This window comes from Homo sapiens, chromosome 6 (assembly GCF_000001405.40).
Source record: "Homo sapiens chromosome 6, GRCh38.p14 Primary Assembly".
Taxonomy (NCBI): Eukaryota; Metazoa; Chordata; class Mammalia; order Primates; family Hominidae; genus Homo; species Homo sapiens.
Genome location: NC_000006.12, coordinates 25,238,530 through 25,261,975, shown reverse-complemented (window position 1 = coordinate 25,261,975; position 23,446 = coordinate 25,238,530). Strand labels below are relative to the sequence as shown.

The following is a 23,446-nucleotide window of genomic DNA, read 5'->3' as shown; positions in this document are numbered from 1 at the left end:
ATTCTCCTGCCTCAGCCTCCCAAGTAGCTGAGACTACAGGCACCTGCCACCACGCCTGGCTAATTTTTTGTATTTTTAGTAGAGATGGGGTTTCACTGTGTTAGCCAGGATGGTCTTGATCTCCTGACATTGTGATCTGCCCGCCCTGGCCTCCCAAAGTGCTGGGATTACAGGCGCGAGCCACCGCGCCTGGCCTTTTTTTTTTTTTTTTTTTAAATAGTCCAGAGGTCTTTTATTTTATTTCTTTAACACCTATTATGCATGAATTCATAGGGAATAGATTCCAGCAGCTCAAGCTCTTTCCCGTTGGTTCTCACACAGTGTGCTTCTCTGGGTGGAGCAGGCTGGTGCTTCAGTTGAACCCAGGTACTTTTCTCTTTGGCTTCCTTCTTTTTCTGATCATTTTCCTTCACGCATTTCAGGAAGCTACCTCGGCTCTTAGAGTGTTTAATGTGCTCAATATGCACATTAATTCTCTTGGCAAGAATCTTGCCCTTAACTTGTTTGTTTAAAACAATGCCAAAAGCATGCTGGGTAAAATTGTAGACTCTTCCAGTTTTGCCATGGTAACACCTGTGGGGCATTCCTTTTTGAACAGTACCCCTTCCCTTGATGTCTGCAATATCACCTTTCTTATAGATTAGCATATATGTGGCCAAAGGAACAACTCCATGTTTTTGTAAAGGCCTAGAGAACATATATCCAGTGCCTTTCCTTTTTGCCTTTGTATTCATCATTTTGGCAAATTACTGGAAGATGACGGTTCTGGCCAAAAGGCTGGTTTTGTTTTTGGGTCACATTTTCTTGCTTCTCTGCGTTAGAATCTTGGATTAGATGATGGACATGGTGAAGGTTGTATCATTTAGTGTCTAGACTTTGTAATCTTCCTTTAAACATAACAATATTATTTTGAGTTTTTTTCTAGCAGGCTTACTGATTCTTTCAAATGATTTGTTTGTTTGTTTGTTTTATAAAAAACTGGATCTGCTATATTGCCAAGGCTGGGCTCAACTCTTGGGCTCAAGTAGTCCTCCTGCTTCAGCCTCCTGAGTAGCTGGGACTACAGACATGCATCACCATGACCGGCTTAAAGGTTGTTGTTAATCTTTGTTAGGGTCGGTGTGGAGTACCCTATTTTAGCTTTGCTCCAAAGGTGCAGCTTTTCTGGGGCCTTTAGTGAATACATAAGTATTTAGCAAGGTGTTTCTACTCTACTTGGTCAGAAATGTAACATCCCTCAGTCCTCTGAGAGTTGTTTAGCTTCAGTTACCTGGTAACTGTTCTTAGTAGGATTCATCCATTCTATCACATATGGTTTGTATGTATTCACTTTTACTAGTTACGTTGCTAAATTCTTTCTATGATTTTTCATGTGGTGGTATTATCACTTATTTTATAGATGGAAAATATGAGGTGCAGAGAAGTGATGGAAAAAAGAGAAGATCAGGATTTCAGTTTTTTTCTGCATTTCTCATCATCCCATGAAGTCTCTTGATAACATAAGCCAAGTTTTCATATACCTTGACGTGTGTGATACTTACGTGGTGCCAAGAACAAGATGCATACTCAATAAATATTCATCACTATAGGCAAAAGCGGGCACAGATGGAAAATAAAATTATTTGAAGGTAAAGAACACTTGATTAAGAATTAGTCAGCAAAATAACATTAAATTGAGTCAGAATAAATGGGTTCTAGGCTTCACCCCATTGTGAATGAATAATATATTACTTTTAGACAGTGTTTTCCTATACTTGTTTATGTTTGCTCGTCACAAAAACCTGCTGAGCTAACCTAGGGTAAGGTCTTGGTAGGAAGACATCCCAGAGTCACAAGGCAACAAACACGTAATGAAGGCAAGTTTTAAAATCAGATCTTCTGAATATTAAAAAAAAAAATTTTTTTTAGAAGGGTCTCACTCTCACCTAGGCTGGAGTACAGTGGCACTGTCACAACTCCCTGCAGCCTCAAACTCCTGGGCTCACGTGATCCTCTCATTATCTTAATCGCTTTGAGTCTCAGTTTTCCCATCTATAAAATGGGGATATCACTTAGTTCACTAGGTTGCTCTGGTGTTTAAGGGAAATAAATACATATAAAGCATATTGAAATATTTAAAGAATTCAATAAATGTTTATTATTAGGAAACAAACATATGGTAATTTTTGAGCCAGAGTCTCATTCTGTTGCCCAGGCTGGAGTGCAGTGGCACAATCTCGGCTCACCACAACCTCCGCCTCCTGGGTTCAAGGAATTCTCCTGGGTTCAAGCGATTCTCGTGGCTCAGCCTCCCAAGTAGCTGGGACTACAGTTGCACGCCACCATGCCCAGCTAATGTATGTATTTTTAGTAGAGACGGGGTTTCACCATGTTGGTCAGGCTGGTCTTGAACTCCTGACATCAGGTGATCTGCCCACCTTGGCCTCCCGAAGTTCTAGGATTACAGGTGTGAGCCACTGCGCCCAGCAACAACAACAACAACAACAACAACAACAACAACAACAAAAATCTTAAACAAACAAAAAACCCAACAGGGTTTATGACACCAAATCCTGTCAACTATCAACCACACCATATTGTACCTCTCACCACATATTTTTACTTAAATTATGTAACATTTCTTAGCCTTGGTTTTCTCACTGAAAACAGGGGAGGCTGAACTTAACTATACATAACTCTTCTGCTTCTAAATGTGTCTGAGAGAGAGACTGAAATAAGCAAGGGAGAGTGGATGTCCTTCATGCTTAAACTTAAGATCCCAATTTTTATCCGAAATGAGCTTAAACTTTCCCTCCTGTGAATTTGCTACTCTTTTTGAAGCTAATAACAATTAAAAAATAGAGCTATCTTTAATTCAGCAAAAAATAATTATTTCTAAATCCTGAGAGATCAATGAGACTGCAAACCTAACAAATTCATTTTTAATGACAAAAACACTAATTTCGTCATAAGGAGGCAATGATAAGATTCATTTATTTTGTATAAAACATTATAATTTATCATTTTTAACAAAATGGATACCACACATTTTCCTTTCGGAATAAATGTTTTAATCACCCTTTCGATGTGATATCTTTTGATCAACAGGAATTTTTGGCATCTCTAAACCCTCTTCCAAATTATTCAGGGCTCACTTTGGTTTTTAAAATTAACATTTGATTGATTTAAGTAACAAATGCAAAAGCCCAGTTTCCCCTTACATTTAAGTTTATTTTATATATTTAAAAATTCAATTTATAAATAAGGTAATATTATAAAATTCATTTTTAAGGTGACCTTTGATTATTGCTTAGTCCGATTTGCAAACTTTGTTAAATATTTTAAGTAACTTATACATTTATTATTTTCAAATTTTTTAAGTTCTTTAGTTTTCTGACTTACAAAGAAACCTTCCTGGTTATTTAAATAAGCATAATAAACCTAATAATCTTGTATTTATGCTGAACCCTTATAAATTACATAAAATTGTCTTAAGGCTTTCAACCTAAGAGAAGTCTGGATCAATGGTGATGTTTCAAATTTTAAATTCAGGGCCATTTGGCTAATCTATTGAATAATTAATATATTCAGAATTTCTTAAACATTACATTACTTAAAGCTACCACATTAGTCACAGTTTATCCACAAACATAAACCTGAAATATTAGAACTAATTTTTTGCTTTTAAAAAAGCATTCCTGTACTAAATTCTAGCTCTTTTTAGGACTAATTCACTTTCAAGAAAAAAACAATTCAGTCTTCCCACTATCATACCAGAGATTTTGGTAAGGAGCTTAAGCTGAGGCATCTAAGACAATTTCCCTCTCAGCCATGACGGGCATGTGGAAGTTTCCAAGCCCACGCCCTCCATGTAACCAAGTAACATGTTACGTAAGTGTCAAGGCTGGATTAATTCGGCAACTCATTCTAGATTGTTTTATTATTTGATTATATTAAAATAATTTAAGATTAATTTTTTTTTTCTGAAATTCTTTTCATGTCTCCTAACTGAGACCTGGTTAGATTCCACATATCCCTCTTGTCTTATCCAGCTCTAAGTCACAGTTCCGGGGACATTTTAATGATGCCTCCAAGCACATACAGACATTGCCAGGAACCTTGCTGCTCACTAACAGATGCTCCAGTCCTTGGACATCCCACATTTGAAAAAGCAGCACTGGCTGTGAGAAAAGCATAAATAATTTAAACAAAATAGGAAGAGCTAGAATGAGAACTAGTGTGAAAAGTCAAGACAAATCGAAGTATATTACTTGAATGTAGACGTGATCTGCAGTGAGACCAGAGTCTATCACATGCACACATAGAAAATGATTATATTTGTTCAGCACATCAGCATAAACAGATAAGGTAGCTCTCAACTGAAGGAGGTCTTCCCAGGGGATCGAGCACATCCCCAGGCCCTGCCTGGCTGCCCTGTGGGCTGAGAGAACCAACATGTCAACACATCTGATATCTATTCACTGTATGACAACATGGATTATCTGGGCTAAGGGTTCTTGTAATTTAAAAAATACTATTTAAGACAAATGTGATAAGGAGCCTACAACTTGTATGGCCCCCATGGACTCATAGTAATTGTTGAGATGTTTAAGATCTGAGGCTGGCTCCTTAGTGGCACTGAACCAACATATTTCAGTGTCAATCAATTGCATAACCATCACCTTAGTGTCAATGTCCTGGATATCCGCACACTAACATGCACATATAATTACATATATTTTACATCTTAGAGTGCAGCAAAATTTATTTTTTTAAAGCTCCCTCATCATCTTTTAAAACATTTATTCTCATTAGGCTTTCTGATTCACTTTTATTAACAAGTAATAGGAAATATAAGTTTATTGTTTTATTTATTTGTTCAACAATGGGAACACAACTAGTAAATGAAAGAGCTAGTACTTGAACCCAGGTTCTTAACTATAATCTTATTGCATCTGTTGCTGCTGAGGCACACATTATTAACCATTATTAGTAGGTAAGTTTTCTGCAGAACTAAAGAGATATCCAAAGACAGCAATAGCAAATACCACCATCAGAATTGGCCCCAAAAGAATACGATCTTGGATATTTTATTTTTGCATAAATACAGTTCAAGTTTCCACAACTCAAAAGAAAAGAGGGAACCTGGAGAAGTTTCAGTGTACAACCATAAAGTTTGATTTTTTTTTAATCACATGAGGAAAGCTGAATAATACCAATTTACTTAGTTTGAGGGTGAGAAGAGCTCTCACGTACAAGAAAGCCCACATCCCTGCCTTAATCTTAAATGATATATCTGTGTGATTTTTTTTTTTTTAGACGGAGTTTTGCTCTGCTGCCTGGGCTGGGCTGCAGTGGTATGATCTCGGCCCACTGCAACCTTCACTTCCTGGGTTCAAGTGATTCTCCTGCCTCAGCCTCCCAAGTAGCTGGGACTACAGGTGCACACCACCACGCCTGGCTAATTTTTGTATTTTTAGTAGAGACAGGGTTTCACCATGTTGGCCAGGCTAGTCTCAAACTCCTGACCTCAGGTGATCTGCCCGCCTCAGCCTCCCAAAGTGCTGGGATTACAGGCGTCAGCCACTGTGCCCGGTCATGATTTCTTCTTTTTTCTTCTTCTTTCTTTCTTTCTTCTTTTTTTTGAAACAGGATCTCACTCTGATGCCCAGGCTAGAGTGCAGTGGTGCAATCTGAGCTCACTTCAGCCTTGAACTCCAGGGCTCAAATGATCCTCCCACCTCAGCCTCCTGAGTAGCTGGGACCACGGGTGTGTCCCTCCACACCCAGCTAACTTTGCTTAATTTTTGTAGCGATGAGATCTCACTATGTTGCCCAGGCTGGTCTTGAACTTCTGGCCTCAAGTGATCTTTCCATCTTGGCCTCCCGAAGTGCTGAGATTACAGGTGTGAGCCACTGCACCTGGCCTATTTGTGTGATTTCTTACTTAAAATGATAAGCCTTTCAAGAACAGCCTAGAAACTACCATAGAATTTTAGAGTTATAAGTACACCATCAGATTGCATTATTAACCAGCCAATTGTACATTAACCAGCCAATTGTCAAACATGCCTCCAAAAAGAAAGTCCTTTATTAGGTTAAATCTATGTATATTTATAATTAAAATCCTCAGTTCTCAACATACCTGCATGCAATCTCAAGGCAATAGAAAAAAACTGAAGAAATTCTAACATGGAAATGTGGTGTCCTTAGCCAAAATAACAAATAGAGAGGATGGAAATGTTTATCCTTACAACAGAGCAAGATAAAATATACTTAAGCCAAAGCGGGAGAAATGCAAGTTGTGTTTAAGGAAGACTTCACTGAAAGTTAAGTTTATTGCTCACTGGAAAAATAAATAGGAAAAGATATTTAATTTCCTTCTCTGAAGGCCTTATGTAGTATTTTAAACTTATTAAATATAATCATAGTAGGGTATATTTGGGAAATAGAAATACTTTTAAATTACCTATACTCCTATACTGCTATATTTCTAACAAAGCAACTGCCATCACTTCTGGTGTATCCTTGGCTAATCTTTCTGAATTATATTCATTGATTACATAGCTGTTGCTATAACACAACACATACCTTTGTATTTAACAATTTTCATTTGTTAGTTTGACATTTTCCAAGCATGTTTTTATATTGCAATTGATTTGATAATTGTTCTTTTTCTTTTTGAAACAGAGTCTTGCTCTGTCACACAGGCTGGAGCGTAGTGGCATGATCTCAGCTCATTGCAACCTCTGCCTCCTGGGTTCAAGCAATCCTCCTACCTCAGCCTCCTGAGTAGCTTGGACCACAGGTGAGCACAACCACGCCCACCTAATTTTTGTACTTTTAGTAGAGACAGAGTTCCATCATGTTGGCCAGGGTGGTCTCGAACTCCTGACCTCAAATGATCCACCCCCCTTGGCCTCCCAAAGTGCTGGGATTACAGGGGCCGATAATTGTTCTTGAAATTAAAATTCCATCGAGTAGATACACTGTAACTTCCTTAAACATTGCCATATTGTTGCTTCTCATTTCCTGTCAGTATAAATTGTGCTGCAATGGACATGTTCATGCACATGGCTTTTATTCCTCTTTGGACAAATTTCTTAGGATGAAATCCCAGAAGTTGGATCAGAGGCTAGGAACTTTTTTGTGGCTTCCTAAATTCTTTCCAGGAAAGTATCTTTTTCTGTTGCCGTCAGCAGTGCCTCAGAGCACCGGTCTTACTGAAGCTTCGTTGGCATTGAATATCACAGCTTTTTTTTTTTTTTTTTTTTTCAGAGTCTCGCTCTATCCCCCAGGCTGGAGTGCAGTGGCACCATCTCGGCTCACTGCAATCTCCGACTCCTGGGTTCAAGCGATTCTCATGCCTCAGCCTCCTGAGTAGCTGTGATTGCAGGTGCCTGCCACCATGTCTGGCTACTTTTTTGTATTTTTAGTAGAGATAGGGTTTTGTTATGTTGGCCAGGCTGGTCTCAAACTCCTGACCTCAGGTGATCCACCCACCTTGGCCTACCAAAGTGCTAGGATTACAGGCATGAACCACTGTGCCTGGCCAAATATCAAAGCTTTTTATAATACATGTTTGCCTTTTCAATAGGAAGTAATTGGTCCCTCACTCTAGGTTGAACTCCTGGGCTCAAGCGATCCTCCTGCCTTGGTCTCCCAAAGTGCTAGAATTTACAGGTGTGAGCCACTTTGCACCCAGCCTCTTGGCTTTTACTTACAGCTACAGGACAACATAGTAATTAGCAATGTATCTAATTTACCACTTTATCAGTTCACTGAATGAGATGTTTATTTAAAGCAATCTTTAGGACAGGTGATGACTCCCATTTGGAATGATGTTCAATCATCTCATTATTTTTTTGTAGAAATAGAAAAGATGGTCTTTCTCAACTGTTGGCTTAGAAGTCACATTTTGTAGCTTGATTTAAGCCCGTTTATGTTTTAAACTGTTTGAAACTGAAGAAGACAGAATTTGAAGGAGAAATACTCACAGGCAAGAATATTTATTAATAGAAGGAATTTGACTCTAAATATGTGCAACTATATTCAAACCTCCAAACATAATTAGCAAGCTCTATAACTTATGGAAAGTACCCCAGCCTTGAAAAATCTCAGCTGCAGTAAGATTGTGAGCATCACTTTTTAAATTAAAATATAAAAATAAAGTATTTCACTAATTATTTCTGCCAACAAACATATCACCCCTGATCAATAAGTTCAATCCAACCCACAGTTATTTAACACCTACTTAATTCATGGTACTATATGCTCTGATCTACAAAGGTAGATGAGATTTCAAAAAGTCCTGATCTTTTCCCTCAAGGCACACAGAACTTTATATCATAGATCAGTGAATCATTTTCAGTTGATAGATAGTTTGGAAACTGTCCAAGACTGTAAAATAACATGTTGCATCTGGAACACTTTGAGACTCGGGGCAATTTACTTGAAGGTGTATTTGCCGTGGATCCTGTCCAAGAGCGCATCAAAGCTTTTTGGTTGTTGTTTCGTTTTTTTAATGATGTGGTCTCATCTCTGAACAGGCCCACAGCATGGTCCTGTAGAGTAGCCTGGGCTCATGTGTTTACAAATAAAAAATCAATACCCTCCTTAAAATATTGACTTGCTGACTTTGCAGAGAGCACACTTTCAAATGATCCTGCCTAGTGTGTATTGATTTGAATAGTTTTTAAAAAATCTATGTTTTTACTGGATATCGGAAAATATCTTGCTAGAACTAAAAAATGTAACAGCCATTGCCAGGTTTTCTGAACAGAGTATATTAATAGCTAGTTGATATGACAAGCGCTAGCCTAGGCATACACCCAGATTACACTGGGCTACAAGTTTGGGTTAGCCATGCATATCAGTTACTGTCCATCATTGGAGCCAGGGCTTACAAGATCTTTATAAAAGACTGGGCATTGTCTTCATTTCCAACGAGCATGTAGTCTCTTGGAGGATGTAGCATAACATTCAGAGAGAACCACTGTCTTAATGATAATATGCTGAAGATGGAAGTAGGATGGGAGCAACATTAAAGTTAATCAGGCGTGGGATGTAAACTAACATTTTTTAAGTGCCTACCCTGTACCAAGCACTGGGCTAGGCACTTGGCGTGTTTAGTCTGACATTTTTCTAAGGAGTGCATGGAAAAAGTTTTCTTTCAACTTTGACAATGTAGAAACTAAGGCTTAGAGAAATAAAACAATTATTGTCAAGCTCCCATAACCAATAACTTGCATCGCCAGGATTCAAATCCAGAACAGCCCAACTCCAGAGCTTATGTTCTCTTTTTTATACCATCATGTGCAATAAAAGTGTCTGAGAAGACAGAGGTCAAATGTGATCAGAGGGAAAAGCAATTGGTCAAGGGCACCATCTTAGATATTTGAAATTCTGTGAACAAATAAGCCAGTCTGCCTTTGAAGTTATTTGGGGTTCCACTATGCTGTTCTAAAGTTATTTGGGACCACCAACCAATAAATAATGTGAACTTGAGGGAGGCGATAAAGAACAAGGTCAGGAAGAAATCAGAATGCTTCCCCCACTCCCTTTATTTGAGACAGGGTTTTGCTCTGTTGCCCAGGCTGGAGTGCAGTGACACAGTCATAGCTCACTGCAGCCTCAAACTCGGGGCTCAAGTGATCCTCCCAACTCAGCCTCCTGAGTATCTGGGACCACAGACACCACACCTGGCTAGTTTATATATATATATATTTTAGTGGAATCTCGCTATATTGCTCAGGCTGATCCTTTTAACTTAAAATGTTTCCTTTAATCAAAAATATATATTACTGAAATGTAGATATACAGCATCGGCATTAATAAACATGTGAAGCTGGACGTGGTAGCTCATGCTGGTAATCCCAGCACTTGGGGAGGCCAAAGTGGGAGGATCACTTGAGGCCAGGAGTTCAAGACCAGCCTGGGCAACAGAGCAAGAATCCATTTCTATATAAAATTTTTAAAATTAGGCAGGTGTAGTGGTGCACACCTGTAGTCCCAGCTGCTTGGGAGGCTGAGGCAGGAGGAATACTTGAGCCTGGGAGGTCGAAGCTGCCGTGAGCTGTAATCACACCACTACACTACAGCCTGGGTGACAGAGCAAAACTGGTTTTCTTTAAAAAAAAAAAAAAAAAAAAAAGCATGTGAAAAAGAAGGCTGGACTCCACAGCTTCATTTATTTAAAAAACTTGATTGACATACTATTTTAAATGGTTAATTTACTTATTAGAGTTATTAGAGCTGTTGTTTCTAAAATATATCTTCTTCTTGCTTGATTCTGTCTGGCTTCTGTAGCTTTTGCCACTTAGACCCTCCTTTTCTTTTGTTGTTTATCATCAACTGCTGTCAGCTGTCAAATCATGCTGACTGACAGCAAAATTACCGTGCATTTAGACACAAGTGACAAGACTTTGTCCTGGCCATGTTTTCAAAGGAATCCGGGTGGTTTTAAAAAATATGTTTATGGGCCATTATTAGAAAGTGGTAACAACTGCTCTCCAGTGGAAGGTCAAACAATTTGTCTGACAAAGTGATTTGTGAAGCTTCCATAGTGAATGAAGAATCTGTAGTCATCTAAAAATAAGCAGCAGAAGGTGGTCTTGGGTAGAATAAGTGGCATCTAGAAAGCTTTAATGAAGTATCAATTTTCCAGGAAAGTGAAAAAAAAAACAAGAAAGATTAACAGCTTTCTGTTAGTTACACAAAAGGAAAGAGCCCTGGTGCCAACCACCACTCCTCCTCACCACAGAAGGTGAGTTTTAGGAGTCAGGTAGTGACTTTGGCTCAGACAGTGTTCGTATGTCAGAGTGCTTGCCATGCGACTCAGCAAGTGACTTCATCTGTCTGAGAGCCCATTTCCCCATCTATAAGAGAAAAATCATCTATCAACCCTGCGAGGTAGGTGTGGGAATTAAAGGCAGTGAAAAATTAAGCAATGACACATGACAGAAACTCAGCAGATGTGAGCTCCTTCTGACTCACTCTTCTGCTCCTGAAGCTTTTTTCAGCCACCTGTGAGGACGGCAGAAAGACACCATGTGTGTTTCCCCCACTGTTGTCTTGCATCCTTGCTGTGTTGACGTGGGGTTCATTTGTTTAAAACAGTTTTTTTTTTAATTGGCCAGGTGCAGGGGCTCATATCTGTAATCCCAGCAGTTTGGGATGCTGAGGTGGAAGCATTTTCCAAGGCCAGGAGTCTCAGACCATCCTGGGCAACATAGTGAGACTCCTGTCTCTACAAAAAATTTTTTAAAATTAATTTAAAAATCTTTCCTTTCACCTTCTCTCCCTCCCTTCCATCTACGTGCATTCAAGTACATGTGTATTTTAGGAAAATGTACATGTTTATTGTAGACAAAGCAGATAAGCCAAAAGAAGAATATAAAACTTCCTGTGATCCACATTACAGGTAGATGTACTCTGTGTGTGTGTTCAGGGAGGCTGTGTGCGTGCTTCTAAATCAGTAGTTCTCAGCCTTAGCTGACCTGGGGAGCTATTGAAGCAGATGTCTAGGACACCCACTCAGAGATTCTGACTTAATCAGGCTGAGGTAGGGTTTGGTCATTGGATGTTTAGCCGAGGCGGGTGGATCACAAGGTCAGGAGATTGAGACCATCCTGGCTAACATGGTGAAACCCTGTCTCTACTAAAAATACAAAAAATTAGCCAGGCGTGGTGGCACGCACCTGTAGTTGCAGCTACTCGGGAGGCTGAGGCAGGAGAATCGCTTGAACCCGGGAGGCAGAGGTTGCAGTGAGCTAAGATCGTGCCACTGCACTCCAGCCTGGGTGACAGAGTGAGACTCCATCTCAAAAATAAAAAAAAAAGCTCCTCAAGTGGTCCTTACTGTGCAACCAGTATCCGCTATAGACTTTTTTCTATCCTTATATCATATTTGCACAAAATAAGCTCATAGCCTGCCATTTCCCCTTAATATACTGTGAAGATCCTCTAATGTAGATAAATGAACTTCCATAAAATAATTTTTAAAAGCAAAAACTAGAAAGAATGAATTTACTCAAATAAAACTTGAAAGACATAGAACTAGAGATATTAGAAATCTGCATGCAGTAAAAAAGGTGAATCTAAATTAGCTAATTCCATAAACATTTCAACTTAAGTATCTGCAAAGTAATATGCACCTCTTTTCTTTCACAGAGATACAATGTACACGTTCATGTCATGTTGATTCTGGCAAAAATCAGAGAAATAAAAAATATTCTTGAGTTCATAAACTCTGTGAAGCTAGTTTCAACAGCAACATTCTATATGAATATAAAACCCCAATATTTCATAGATGTACTTTATCTTGTCAGAAGCATAATGGTTTTAATTTTTAATAGTTATTTATCTAATAGCATATATTAGCTTATTAATAATATCGTAATCAATGCCATTAGTATTTTTCTTACATAATATCTCAGTATGAACTGAGAACAAATATTAATGTTGATTATTTGCTATTAAAAATATTTTAAATATTTTTCAACATAAGAAAATAGCTATACATATTTAAATATTTTCTTATAAAATAATAGTAAAACAAATTAATGATGATTGTCATTTGCTGTTTTTAATAATAAATGCTGTCTTTCTGGAAGTATAAATTATGTTATTGTGCAATATGAAGGCATAGTATTCTGTTTTTTGTGGGTTTTTTTTTTGAGACAGGGTCTCACTCTGCCACCCAAATTGGTGTGCAGTGGCACAATCATGGGGCTCACTGCAGCCTCTACCTCCTGGGGTGAAGTGATCCTCCCACCTCAGCCTCCCACGTAGCTGAGACTATAGGTGCATGCCACCACACCCAGCTATTAGAGACAGGGTTTCACTATGTTGCCTAGGCTGGTCTTGAACTCCTGGTCTCAAATGATCCTCCCGCCTTGGCCTCCCAAACTACTGGGATTACAGTCATAAGCCACCATGCTTGGCCAACACAAAGCATTCTTAAACAATGTTAGAAATTTCATTGGAGGAATTTTTCACAGTGCACTGTCACCCCATTGAGTTTGAAAATGTTCTTTCAGATGTTTTTCCACTTTGCTGTGAAGTAGATTGTTGTTTCATTGGTGGTTTCATTATGTGGCTTTAAAAAAAAGGTTTTATTCCCTCCACAGTTCATAGTTCTCCGAATCTTTCTGTAAACTATATATTTTGAGATATTTTGAATAATCAAACACTCTTTAGTAGGCAAAGCCTTTCAATGAAACCACAATAAACATGCCTCTACATACTTAGCCATTTTACTAGGATGTTCTGAAACCGAAGTAAGATGGTCTTCCCATTTCCATATTTCATTTAATTGTTTTAAAATCTTATCATTTTCATCACATTTGGTTTGGCCTTATAAAAAATAACAGTTTAAAATAAATTTAGACCAATTATCTTATATTCTCCATTTACTTTTGGGTAATGACTTTATAAGAGGCAACAACTCAACACAACAGCAAAGTGAGATTTGTTATTTTTCTTTCTGTGGATTATTGATGAGCATGAGAAAACAAACCAACACAACACCAAGGGCGCTACAAAGTTCACTTACACTTCTTGTCCTCTAGAATTTGAAGCCACATTCAAAGTTAAATTCCAGAACTTGTGTCATTGATTCATGGTTATGAAAAGCCTCAGAAAAATACTCACTATGTTTTTATTATGGGTCCTCTGTGATGAATCATAACCACTTCAGTTAAACTTCAGTTCATGGAATAATTTCTCAGGCAGGGGCCTGCACAAATCATGTAATTTTTTAGTTGCCAGGTTACAGTCATAACTTCTAGGGATGTTTTTTCCCTCTAATAAGATTTTGGAAAAGAATGACAATTATTTTTTTGATCCTTGCATTGGGCCCAATCTCTTAAAGTGTATTTCTGTATCTAGAATCTGGGTCTACAAATATAGTCATTCAAACATGACTGTCCAGTCAGCTGGGATTACTCTTATTTGGGCCTATACCAAATTATTTTTTAATGATGGAATATCATTCCACTATACAATAATTTATTTAACTCAGTAACCTGGTATTGAGAATATAAGTTATTTCTGAATTCTGACTTATATAAATTATAGTAACTCTAAACATATTCCCATATTCTAAAATAAATACCCTTTGAAGTGAATTGCTAGGTTGTATTATGTACATATAATCATTTGATAGGTAAAAAGACATCTTATTTTCATTTGTACTTCTTTAATCGTAAGTTTGAACATTTGTTTCCATATGTTTATTGGCCATCTACATAAATTGTTCATGGCCTTCACCCATTTTCCATTTGAGTTGTTCATCTTTTTTCTGATTGTTTTTTGTAAGTATTTATTTAGGGCAATTAGGTACAGATGAGATACTGTAACAAAAAGTTACCAAAATAGAGTGGCTTAAATAAAACAGGAGTTACTTTTCTCTCTTGAAACAGTTTAGAGGTGAGCAGTCAGAGTTAGTAGGATGTCTCTGACGCATATGACCTTTTAGGGACTGGAGTTTCTTTCATCTTGCTGCTCAGCTGTCTCCTAGGTTGCTATCCTTGTCTGCATGGCGAAGTTAAGAATAAGACTGCCTGTACTCTAGCTCTTAAAGAGAGAAGCAGCATGGAGAATGTGTGTGTGTGTGTGTGTGTGTGTGTGTGTGTGTGTGTGTATGTGTGTATTTACATAGTTTAAAACTTAAAACTATAATATACATATATATATATAGTTTAAAACTTAAAACTATAATATACATATATATATATAGTTTTAAGGCCAGGATCCATACATGGCAAAGTTTACTTATTTTCATCTAAGTGAGAACTTTGATATGGCCATATCATACCTAGGTACAAGGCAGGATGAGATTATATTCTCTAGCTGCATAGCTATTTAACCAACTATGACTGTCTTCTATGGAACAGATAGAGAATGGATTCAGGTAGACAACAGGTAGTCTCTACAACAATGAATTAATTTTCACTTGGAAGTCCCTAAGATTTGGCTAAATCCTCACTTTCTCTGGGAAGTGTCCTATAATTTCTCTTCGCTATCAGAGTATACTGAGTTACTCCTTTCTCTATGGTGCCATTTTACCTTATACCTACATCTACAATAGTAAAAATATAATGCTGTTATTTAATTATGTATTATTCTTCCCTGCTAGAGTTACGAGCTTCTTGTGAGACCATGTTTTCCAATCTTATTCATTTCTCCCACCCACCTCCTAGTAAAGTGTCTAGCATATATTAAGTATTCAATAAGTGACTTTGAATGAATGAAAGGACTGCTTTTTATGTAAAGCACTTTGCATCTTGAAAGTGCTTTATATAAATATTATTTCACCTGACCTATATAAGAACCCAGAGAAGTAGCCACTATTATCCCTAAGAGATATTAAGTGAATTATCTAGAGTCAAATAGCTAGTATGATCTAATATCAAGATCAGTTTTTGTGTCACTGCAATAAACACCAATTTTTTTCCTTTAAAAAAATATTTTTTTTTTTTTTTTTTGGAGACAGGATCTGGCTCTGTCACCCAGGCTGGAGAGCAGTGGCAATATCTCGACTCAGTGTAACCTCCACCTCCTGGGCTCAAGCAATCCTCCCACCTAAATCTCCTGAGTAGCTGAGACTATAGGCAGATACCACCATGCTGGGCTAATTTTTCTATTTTTTTGTAGAGATCGGGTTTTGCCATATTGCCCAGGCAGGCAATCTGCCTTCCCTGGCCTTCCAAAGTGCTGGGATTACAGGCATGAGCCACCATGCCTGGCTGCAATAACACCAATTTGGGCTTTTTTTTTTTTTTCTTTTGAGACAGAGCCTCACTCTGTCACCCAGGCTGGAGTGCAGTGGTGCAACCTGTGCCTCCTAGGCTCAAGCGATTCTTGTGCCTCAGCCTCCCAAGTAGCTGGGATTACAGGCATGTGCCACCACGCTTGGTTAAGTTTTGCATTTTTAGTAGAGACAGGGATTCACCATGTTGGCCAGGCTTGTCTTCAACTTCTGTCCTCAAGTGATCCACCCGCTTTGGCCTCCCAAAGTGCTGGGATTACAGGCGTGAGCCACAGTGCCCAGCCAATAGACACCAATTTGATTATGTTGCCCATAAGTGGCTTTCCACTTGTGGAAGTAGGTCATAGCTGCATAGTGCTCCTGTACAACAATCAGAAAACTGGATAAATTACAAAAATCACATTTTTTAGACATCAAAGAGCTGTGAGAGCAACACAGACTAGATGAATTGAAATTCCAGAGAGAATGGGAAGTCCTTCTGGAGTAAGTTGATAATTACCTGCTGTTTTCTTCATTGAGCCCTTTGCTGAATCTAAGCACTGAGGGAGCATCAGGCTTAGCTATGCAGTGGGACTCTGCCGGAGAAAAGAGAAACCAATAAAACTGTGCAAGGCTGGTATGACAGATTGGAAATTTGGAGAGCAGCAAATGTGGTTAGTGTCCCTGTGAAACATTAGTTGAATTCTGGGGTTATTAGAAAGAAGCTAAGAGGCTGTGTTTGAAGAAGTAGAACGAAATCAATAATTCTGCATTCTTTAGGAGACAAAATCCTACTAGAGAGAAGGGGCCTGCTTCAAGCACATAACTGGATTCTACCTCAAGACAATCTGCCACATTTGAAGCTTGGAATCTTCAAAGAGCAGAATAGAATGTGCTGTACTCTTTCAGGACTAAAGAGACAAAGACTTCTAGGGTCTCAATCGACAGCCTTGGAGGAACATGTCTAAGGAATAGGGGTGAACCAGAGAAGACCTAGCTTACTGAAATTACAATGTGGTCCCAATCCAGCTAAACCCCTGGTTGGATTGAGGTAATCAATCTCTCACCCTATCTACAGAAGAAAAGAGAAACTCATGGTGGAGTAAGATGCCATCTGGAGCCTCTATGATTCATTTATATATATCCTACAGAATACAGTCAAAATTGCTAGATATGCAAAAACACAGGAAAAGGTGATTTAAAAATCAAAACAGAAAATAGAAGTAGACACATCATGTTGGATTTAGCAGACAATGATTTGAAACTAACCATGATTGATATGTCAAAAATGTATGAAAGTTGATAAAAAAGAATAAGATGTGTGTTAAAAGAAAATTTGAATTCATAACCAAAGAACCAACTAGACATTCTAGAAGAGAAAAATACAATATCTGAAATTAAAAACTCATTGGATCAATTCACCTGCTATACTGAGCATGCATGTGGGAGACCTAAAGAACATAGTATAAAAGCAGGCAGAAACCAGAGAGAAATTTACTTTCAAAAAATAGAATGACCCAGAGTAAGATCAATGAGTTTTCTGCTTTTCAGCTGAGTGTATTTATTCTCCAAGAATGTGCAGCTCAGGTAGCAGAAAGCTAAAGCCTTGCAGGCTTGATGGGTAAGAGAACAGAGTCCAAGGTTGGCAAAGAAGTTAGAATTGAGGAGGCATCCTTAGAAGCAAGTAAGTCACAGAGAAGCCATAAAGTCTGAGTATATTCTCTGTCCAAATATTTGGTTGACTAATAAATTATGCAGGAAAAGAGGAAACCTCCCAAATGGCCAGGGTTTTTTAAAAAAGCAGCAGCTGGGCTGGGCGCGGTGGCTCACGCCTGTAATCGCAGCACTTTGGGAGGCCGAGGCGGGCGGATCACGAGGTCAGGAGATCGAGACCATCCTGGCTAACACGGTGAAACCCAGTCTCTACTAAAAACACAAAAAAATTAGCCGGGCGTGGTGGCTGGCGCCTGTAGTCCCAGCTACTCAGGAGGCTGAGGCAGGAGAATGGCGTGAACCCAGGAGGCGGAGCTTGCAGTGAGCCGAGATCGCGCCACTGCACTCCAGCCTGGGAGACAGAGCGAGACTCCGTCTCAAAAAAAAAAAAAAAAAAAAAAAAAAAAGCAGCAGCTGGAGACTATAAAAACAGGCAAAGATATTAGCATTTGAATAGTAGGGAAGACAAAGTTTGCAATTTGATTCCAGGTGAGTTAACTTCCAACTGCCTAATACAACAAATGACTAATAATCTTCAGAACACAATAGATTCTAAAGCTACTACATGTTATCTATAATGTCCACTTTTCAACCAAAATGTATTAGACATCTGAAAAAACAAGAAAGTGTGATCCATATATAGGCAAAAAGACAATCAATAGAAATTGACTGAAAGTGGACCCAGACGTTGAATTTAACATAAAAAGACTTCAAAGTAGCTATTATTAAAATTGTCAAAAGATTAAAAGAAAATATATTGTAAGAATTATAGGAAAATATGAAAGGTAGTAAACAGATAGGAAATCTCAAAAGAATAATAGAAATTATTAGAAAAGAACAAATTAAACACTAAAATAAAATAATAATTGATTAACACAAACCAAAGCATGAAAAGAGAAACAAAAAATAACTGAGCAAGTAATCAATAAATAGCAGAATGGCAGATCTAAATACAGCCATCTCAGCCAGGCACGGTGGCTCATACCTGTAATCCCAGAACTTTCACTTTGGGAGGTTGAGGCAGGTGGATCACCTGAGGTCAGGAGTTCGAGACCAGCCTGACCAATATGGTGAAACCCCATCTCTACTAAAAATACAACAATTAGCCAGGCATAGTGGCATGCACCTATAGTCCCAGCTACTCAGGAGGCTGAGACAAGAGAATTGCTTGAACCCACGAGGTGGAGGTTGCAGTGAGCCAAGATCACACCACTGCACTCCAGCCTGGGTGACAGAGCAAGAGTCTGTCTCAAAGATAAAAGTAAAGATAAAAAAATAAATAAATACCACCATCTCAATAATTATATCTGTCTCAGGGGTCCCATAATCACCCACTAGTTGGGTGATTCACTGGAGGACTCACCACAACTTAGCATGAAGTTAAACCGGATAGCTGAAGTTTATCATAGCACAAGATAACAGAGCAGGAACAGCAGGAAAAATATATACCTAGGCAAAGGCTAGAGAGATCATGTGCAGGTTCCTGAGTCCTCCCTTTCTAAGATTATCACACTGGTGTAATCCTCTCTCCAGCTTCAAATTGTAAAGACATATACAAGATTTCCATATTCAGGAAAGCCCATTTGGGGCTTGGAGTCCAAGATTCTTGAAGAGAGCGTGTCACATTAATACATAACTGCCACATCAGTAGCCATTGTGCATACCCCAAAGCAGGTACCAGGTGCACATCATGAATCTTCATGTTTACTTTAAATCTGCTGACCACCTGGTTCATATTGACCTACTGGATTGGGTGTATAGAATGACATCATTACCTAGTACGAGGTAAACATTACAGTACTTTAGTTCTTAGCATTAGACCAAGAGTCACTGTTATAGCTACAGAAATAAGCAAGAAGTAAATAAAAATAATCTGCTGTGTTAACTTTCTTTGTAGCATTAAATATTGTTTGTTTTTGTTTGTTTGTTTGTTTGTGAGACAGGGTCTCACTCTGTGGCCCAGGCTGGAGTGCAGTGACATGATCTTGGCTCACCGCAACCTCTGCTGCCCAGGCTCAGGTGATTCTCCCATCTCAGCCTTCTGGGTAGCTAGGACTACAGGTGCATCCTACCATGCCCAGCTAATTTTTGTATTTGTAGTAGAGATGGGGTTTCACCATGTTGCCCATGCTGGTCTAAAATTCCTGGGCTCAAGCGATCTGCCTGCCTCAGCCTCCCAAAGTGTTGGGTTTGCAGGTGTGAGCCACCATGCCTGGCCTTTGCTGCATTACATGTAAATGAACTAAACAACCAAAAGGCAGAGATTATTGTAAGACTGAATTAAAAAAAAATCAAGAACCAATTATAAGGTGTCTACAAGAGATGCATTTTAAATGCAAAGACACAAATAGATTAAAAGTAAAAGGATAGAAAAATATGTAGCATGGAAAACTGGAGAAAACTGGAGTGATTTTATTAAGATTAAACAAAATAGACTTCAATAAAGAAGTATTACTAGAGACAAAGACAAATACTTCATACTAATAAAAAAGTCAAATACATCAGTAAAATGGAGCAATTATAAACGTATATGTGCCTAATTAACAGAGCTTCAAAATGTGTGAAGCAAACATCTGACAGAACTAAAGACAGAAATAGACAAATCCACAATCATTGTTGGAAACTTAAACATACTTCTCAATAATGAACAGAACAACTAAGCAAAAAGTCAGTAACAATGAATGAAAGTAAAAGATCTCCTCTTCTTATACTTTCCTTAGTCTCTTCCTAAACCAAGAAGTTCTTACAAGGTATTGTTTCTGGAGAAGGCCAGAACCATTTGTCTTCTTCTGTGCTTCCAAGGCCATATCCACGTCTGAGATCCTGCAGTAGTTTTATTTTCAGTTGCAAGTAACCAAAAGCTTAATTCAAACTTCCTTATACAATAGAGGGAAATTATTCTTTTAGGTACAGATCAATCAGGGTTAAATTTCTCTTTAATTTTGCCTCTTGTGTGTTGGATTTATTTATTTATTTATTTTTTTAGACAAGTCTTGCTTTGTCACCCAGGCTAGTGTGCAGTGGTGCAGTCGCAGCTCACTGTAACCTCTGCCTCCGGGGATCAAGTGATTCTCCTGCCTCAGCCTCCCAAGTAGCTGAGATTACAGGTGTGCACCACCACGCCCGACTAATTTTTGTATTTTTAGTAGATACAGGGTTTTACCATGTTGACTAGGCTTGTCTCAAACTTCTGACCTCAGGTGATTTGCCTGCCTCAGCCTCCCAAAGTGCTGGGATTACAGGTGTGAGCCACTGGGCCTGCCCAATTTCTTCTTTTTTGTTTGCTTTTTCTTTTTTCTTTTGAGACAAGGTCTTGCTCTGTCACCCAGGCTGGAGTGCAGTGGCATGATCTTGGCTCACTACAACCTCCATCTCCCAGGTTCAGGCAATTCTCATGCCTCAGCCTCCTAAGTAACTGGCACTGCAGGCATACACCAACACGCCTGGCTAATTTTTTTGTATTTTTAGTAGAGATGGGATTTTGCCATGTTGGCCAGTCTGGTCTTGAACTCCTGGCCTTTAGTAATCTCCCTGCCTTGGTCTCCCAAAGTGTTGAGATTAGAGGCATGAGCCACAGTGCCTGGCAATTCTTCAAAAACATTTTTTTGTATTGTAAAGTCAGAGAAAATGTGTTCGATTCATTCTGAGGTGAACATACTATATGGTGGCAAAGTGAGGATAGCAGTTCTCCCTTCACATCCACATCCCACACTACACAGAAAGAAAGAAACATGTGTTCCAGAATTGTCAGCAAAAATCCTGAAATTCGCACTTGACTTAGACCACAGACCCATGACTGATCTAATCACTGCAATGAGGGCAATAAGACTTTCTTGGGCGCAGTACATGTCATTCATTTTATCCCTGAAATAATGGGATAGTTGGGGGTAGAGTAACAATAAATTTCCAATAGAAGTGTAGACTGTTGGGAAAGGTTAAGTGGGACATGGATACCAGAGCGTTAACCAACAGGCGAACAACAGGTGAATAATACTGTGTTTAACATGGTCTCTCTCTGTCTCGCACACACACACACACACACACACACAGAGCAATGAGCAGTAACTAGCCAAACAAATGAAACATTAATCATATACAGCATATGTTAGAGCAATATACTCATATAGAAAACAGGAATTTCATTAAATTACAAAACTGTTGTTTGATAAACTAGCGAGGATAAATAATACATAATATTGTGATAGTTTTTCTTTTATCTTTCCTGTAGAAAGTTATGTATGAAAAAAGAACACTGACTTTCTCTTGTACTTTAAGTCTTTAGCATTTGGGAAATTTCCTATTATTCTCAAGTATAGTCACACTACATCAGATTTCAAGCCAAGACTTAATTTTTTAAAATGTTCTAAGAGGCATGGTGGCTTATGCCTATAATCCTAGCACTTTGGGAGTCCGAGATGGATGGATCACTTGAGGTCAGGAGTTTGAGACCAGCCTGGCCAATATGATGAAACCCCAGCTCTACTAAAAATACAAAAATTAGCCAGGTGTGGTAACACATGCTAATCCCAGCTCCTCAGGAAGCTGACTTGGGAGGATCCCTTGAGCCGGGGAGGGGGTTTTGCAGTGAGCCGAGATTGCGCTACTACACTCCAGCTTGGGCAAAAGAGTAAGACCCTGTCTTAAAAAAGTAAATAAATAAAATAAAATGTTCTAAGAGTGTTTCATGCTCATGACTGCATAAGCATTACTGAACCTGGCATTCTGCTCTTGTCTCCTTCATTGTTAGATTAATGTTCACATAAAAACATTTCCATAATTATACCAATAAAGGGTTAGACACCCTCTGTGAGTATAAAAGGAAAATTAAGACATAAAGAAAATATGTGGTAAAGAGGAAAGGGCCAGGTTGAGCAATGGGTGATAAGTGCAAGATAAAACTCATTGAATATAAAAGTTAGAATTACTGAGCTCGAAAGGATCCCAAGAGGTCATCTGATCCAGTCTGCCTTCTAAGCAACAGCACACTTTAAAATTACTGAAAACTAACAGTTAATTGTATTCTGTGTAGCACTTTTTTTTTTTTGGCTTTTGAAAAATTGATCAAACAGTAGGGATAAAGAAAACCCTAATTAATTCTTAATTCAAAGCTTACTGTATTTTGTGGTTCTAAAATATTTTGAAAAGGTTTTAAAATGTCAAATCCCTGCCAGATAGAAAGCAGATATTCCAAAATAAATATTTTACTGTTTTCTCTGCCAGTGTGATATGAGACAATAATTTATTACCAGGAAAGCTAAGGGAGGCCCTTGGAACCAGCATCAAAGTAATAATCCTGTTTCTCTGAGACTTTTGGCAGACAGTTTGTTCTTTAGTTTTCCTAGAGATTGTTAAGCACACAATTCAACCAAAACACTGACAATTCAAATTAATTATATTTATCAACAACTGTCACATACTTTAGGAAAGTATATTACTCTTCTGCATATCCTATTGATCTGTTAACATAATTTTGCACAACACTATTTGCTCTAGCAACTCAATTTCTGCTACTAAACGTTTATTCTGAAGAAATAATCATAGATGCAAGCAAAGATTTATATACAGTTGTTTATTAAAACATTTTTGACCAAGCGTGGTGACCCATGCCTGTAATCCCAGCACTTTGGGAGGCTGAGGCAGGTGGATTGCTTGAGCCCAGGAGTTTGAGACCAGCCTAGGCACGTGGTGAAATCCTATCTCTACTAAAAATATTTTGAAAAATGTATCTGGGAATGGTGGCATGTGCCTGTAGTCCCAGCTACTTGGAGATTGCTTGAGCCTGGGAGGTGGAGGTTGCAGTGAGCCTAGATCACACCACTGCACTCAGGCCTGAGTGATGGAGCAAGACCCTGTCTCAGAAAAAAATAAAATAAAATAACCCAACCCCCCCCCCACATCATTTGTAATGTCCAAAATTAGAAACCACTTAAATACCCGACAATAGAAAATTGGTTAAATAAATTATGGTGTGTCTATACAACAAAATACTACATAGCCATTAAA

General features: G+C 38.5%; 1 long non-coding RNA gene and 2 pseudogenes across 2 annotated transcripts; 1 reads left to right on the top strand and 2 right to left on the bottom strand.

The window, feature by feature from the left end:
• RPL21P68 (ribosomal protein L21 pseudogene 68) lies at nt 218-777 on the bottom strand (annotated as a pseudogene).
• On the top strand, nt 569-17,060 carry LOC101928663 (uncharacterized). Of its 2 annotated transcripts, NR_110862.1 has the most exons (4): nt 569-852; nt 1,400-1,628; nt 6,670-6,787; nt 16,511-17,060. It is a non-coding gene; the product is annotated as an uncharacterized LOC101928663 (long non-coding RNA). The 2 variants fall into 2 exon arrangements; NR_110863.1 differs by lacking the exon at nt 6,670-6,787.
• Nucleotides 13,196-13,787, bottom strand: KATNBL1P5 (katanin regulatory subunit B1 like 1 pseudogene 5; annotated as a pseudogene).
• Nucleotides 17,061-23,446: the final 6,386 nt, after the last annotated feature.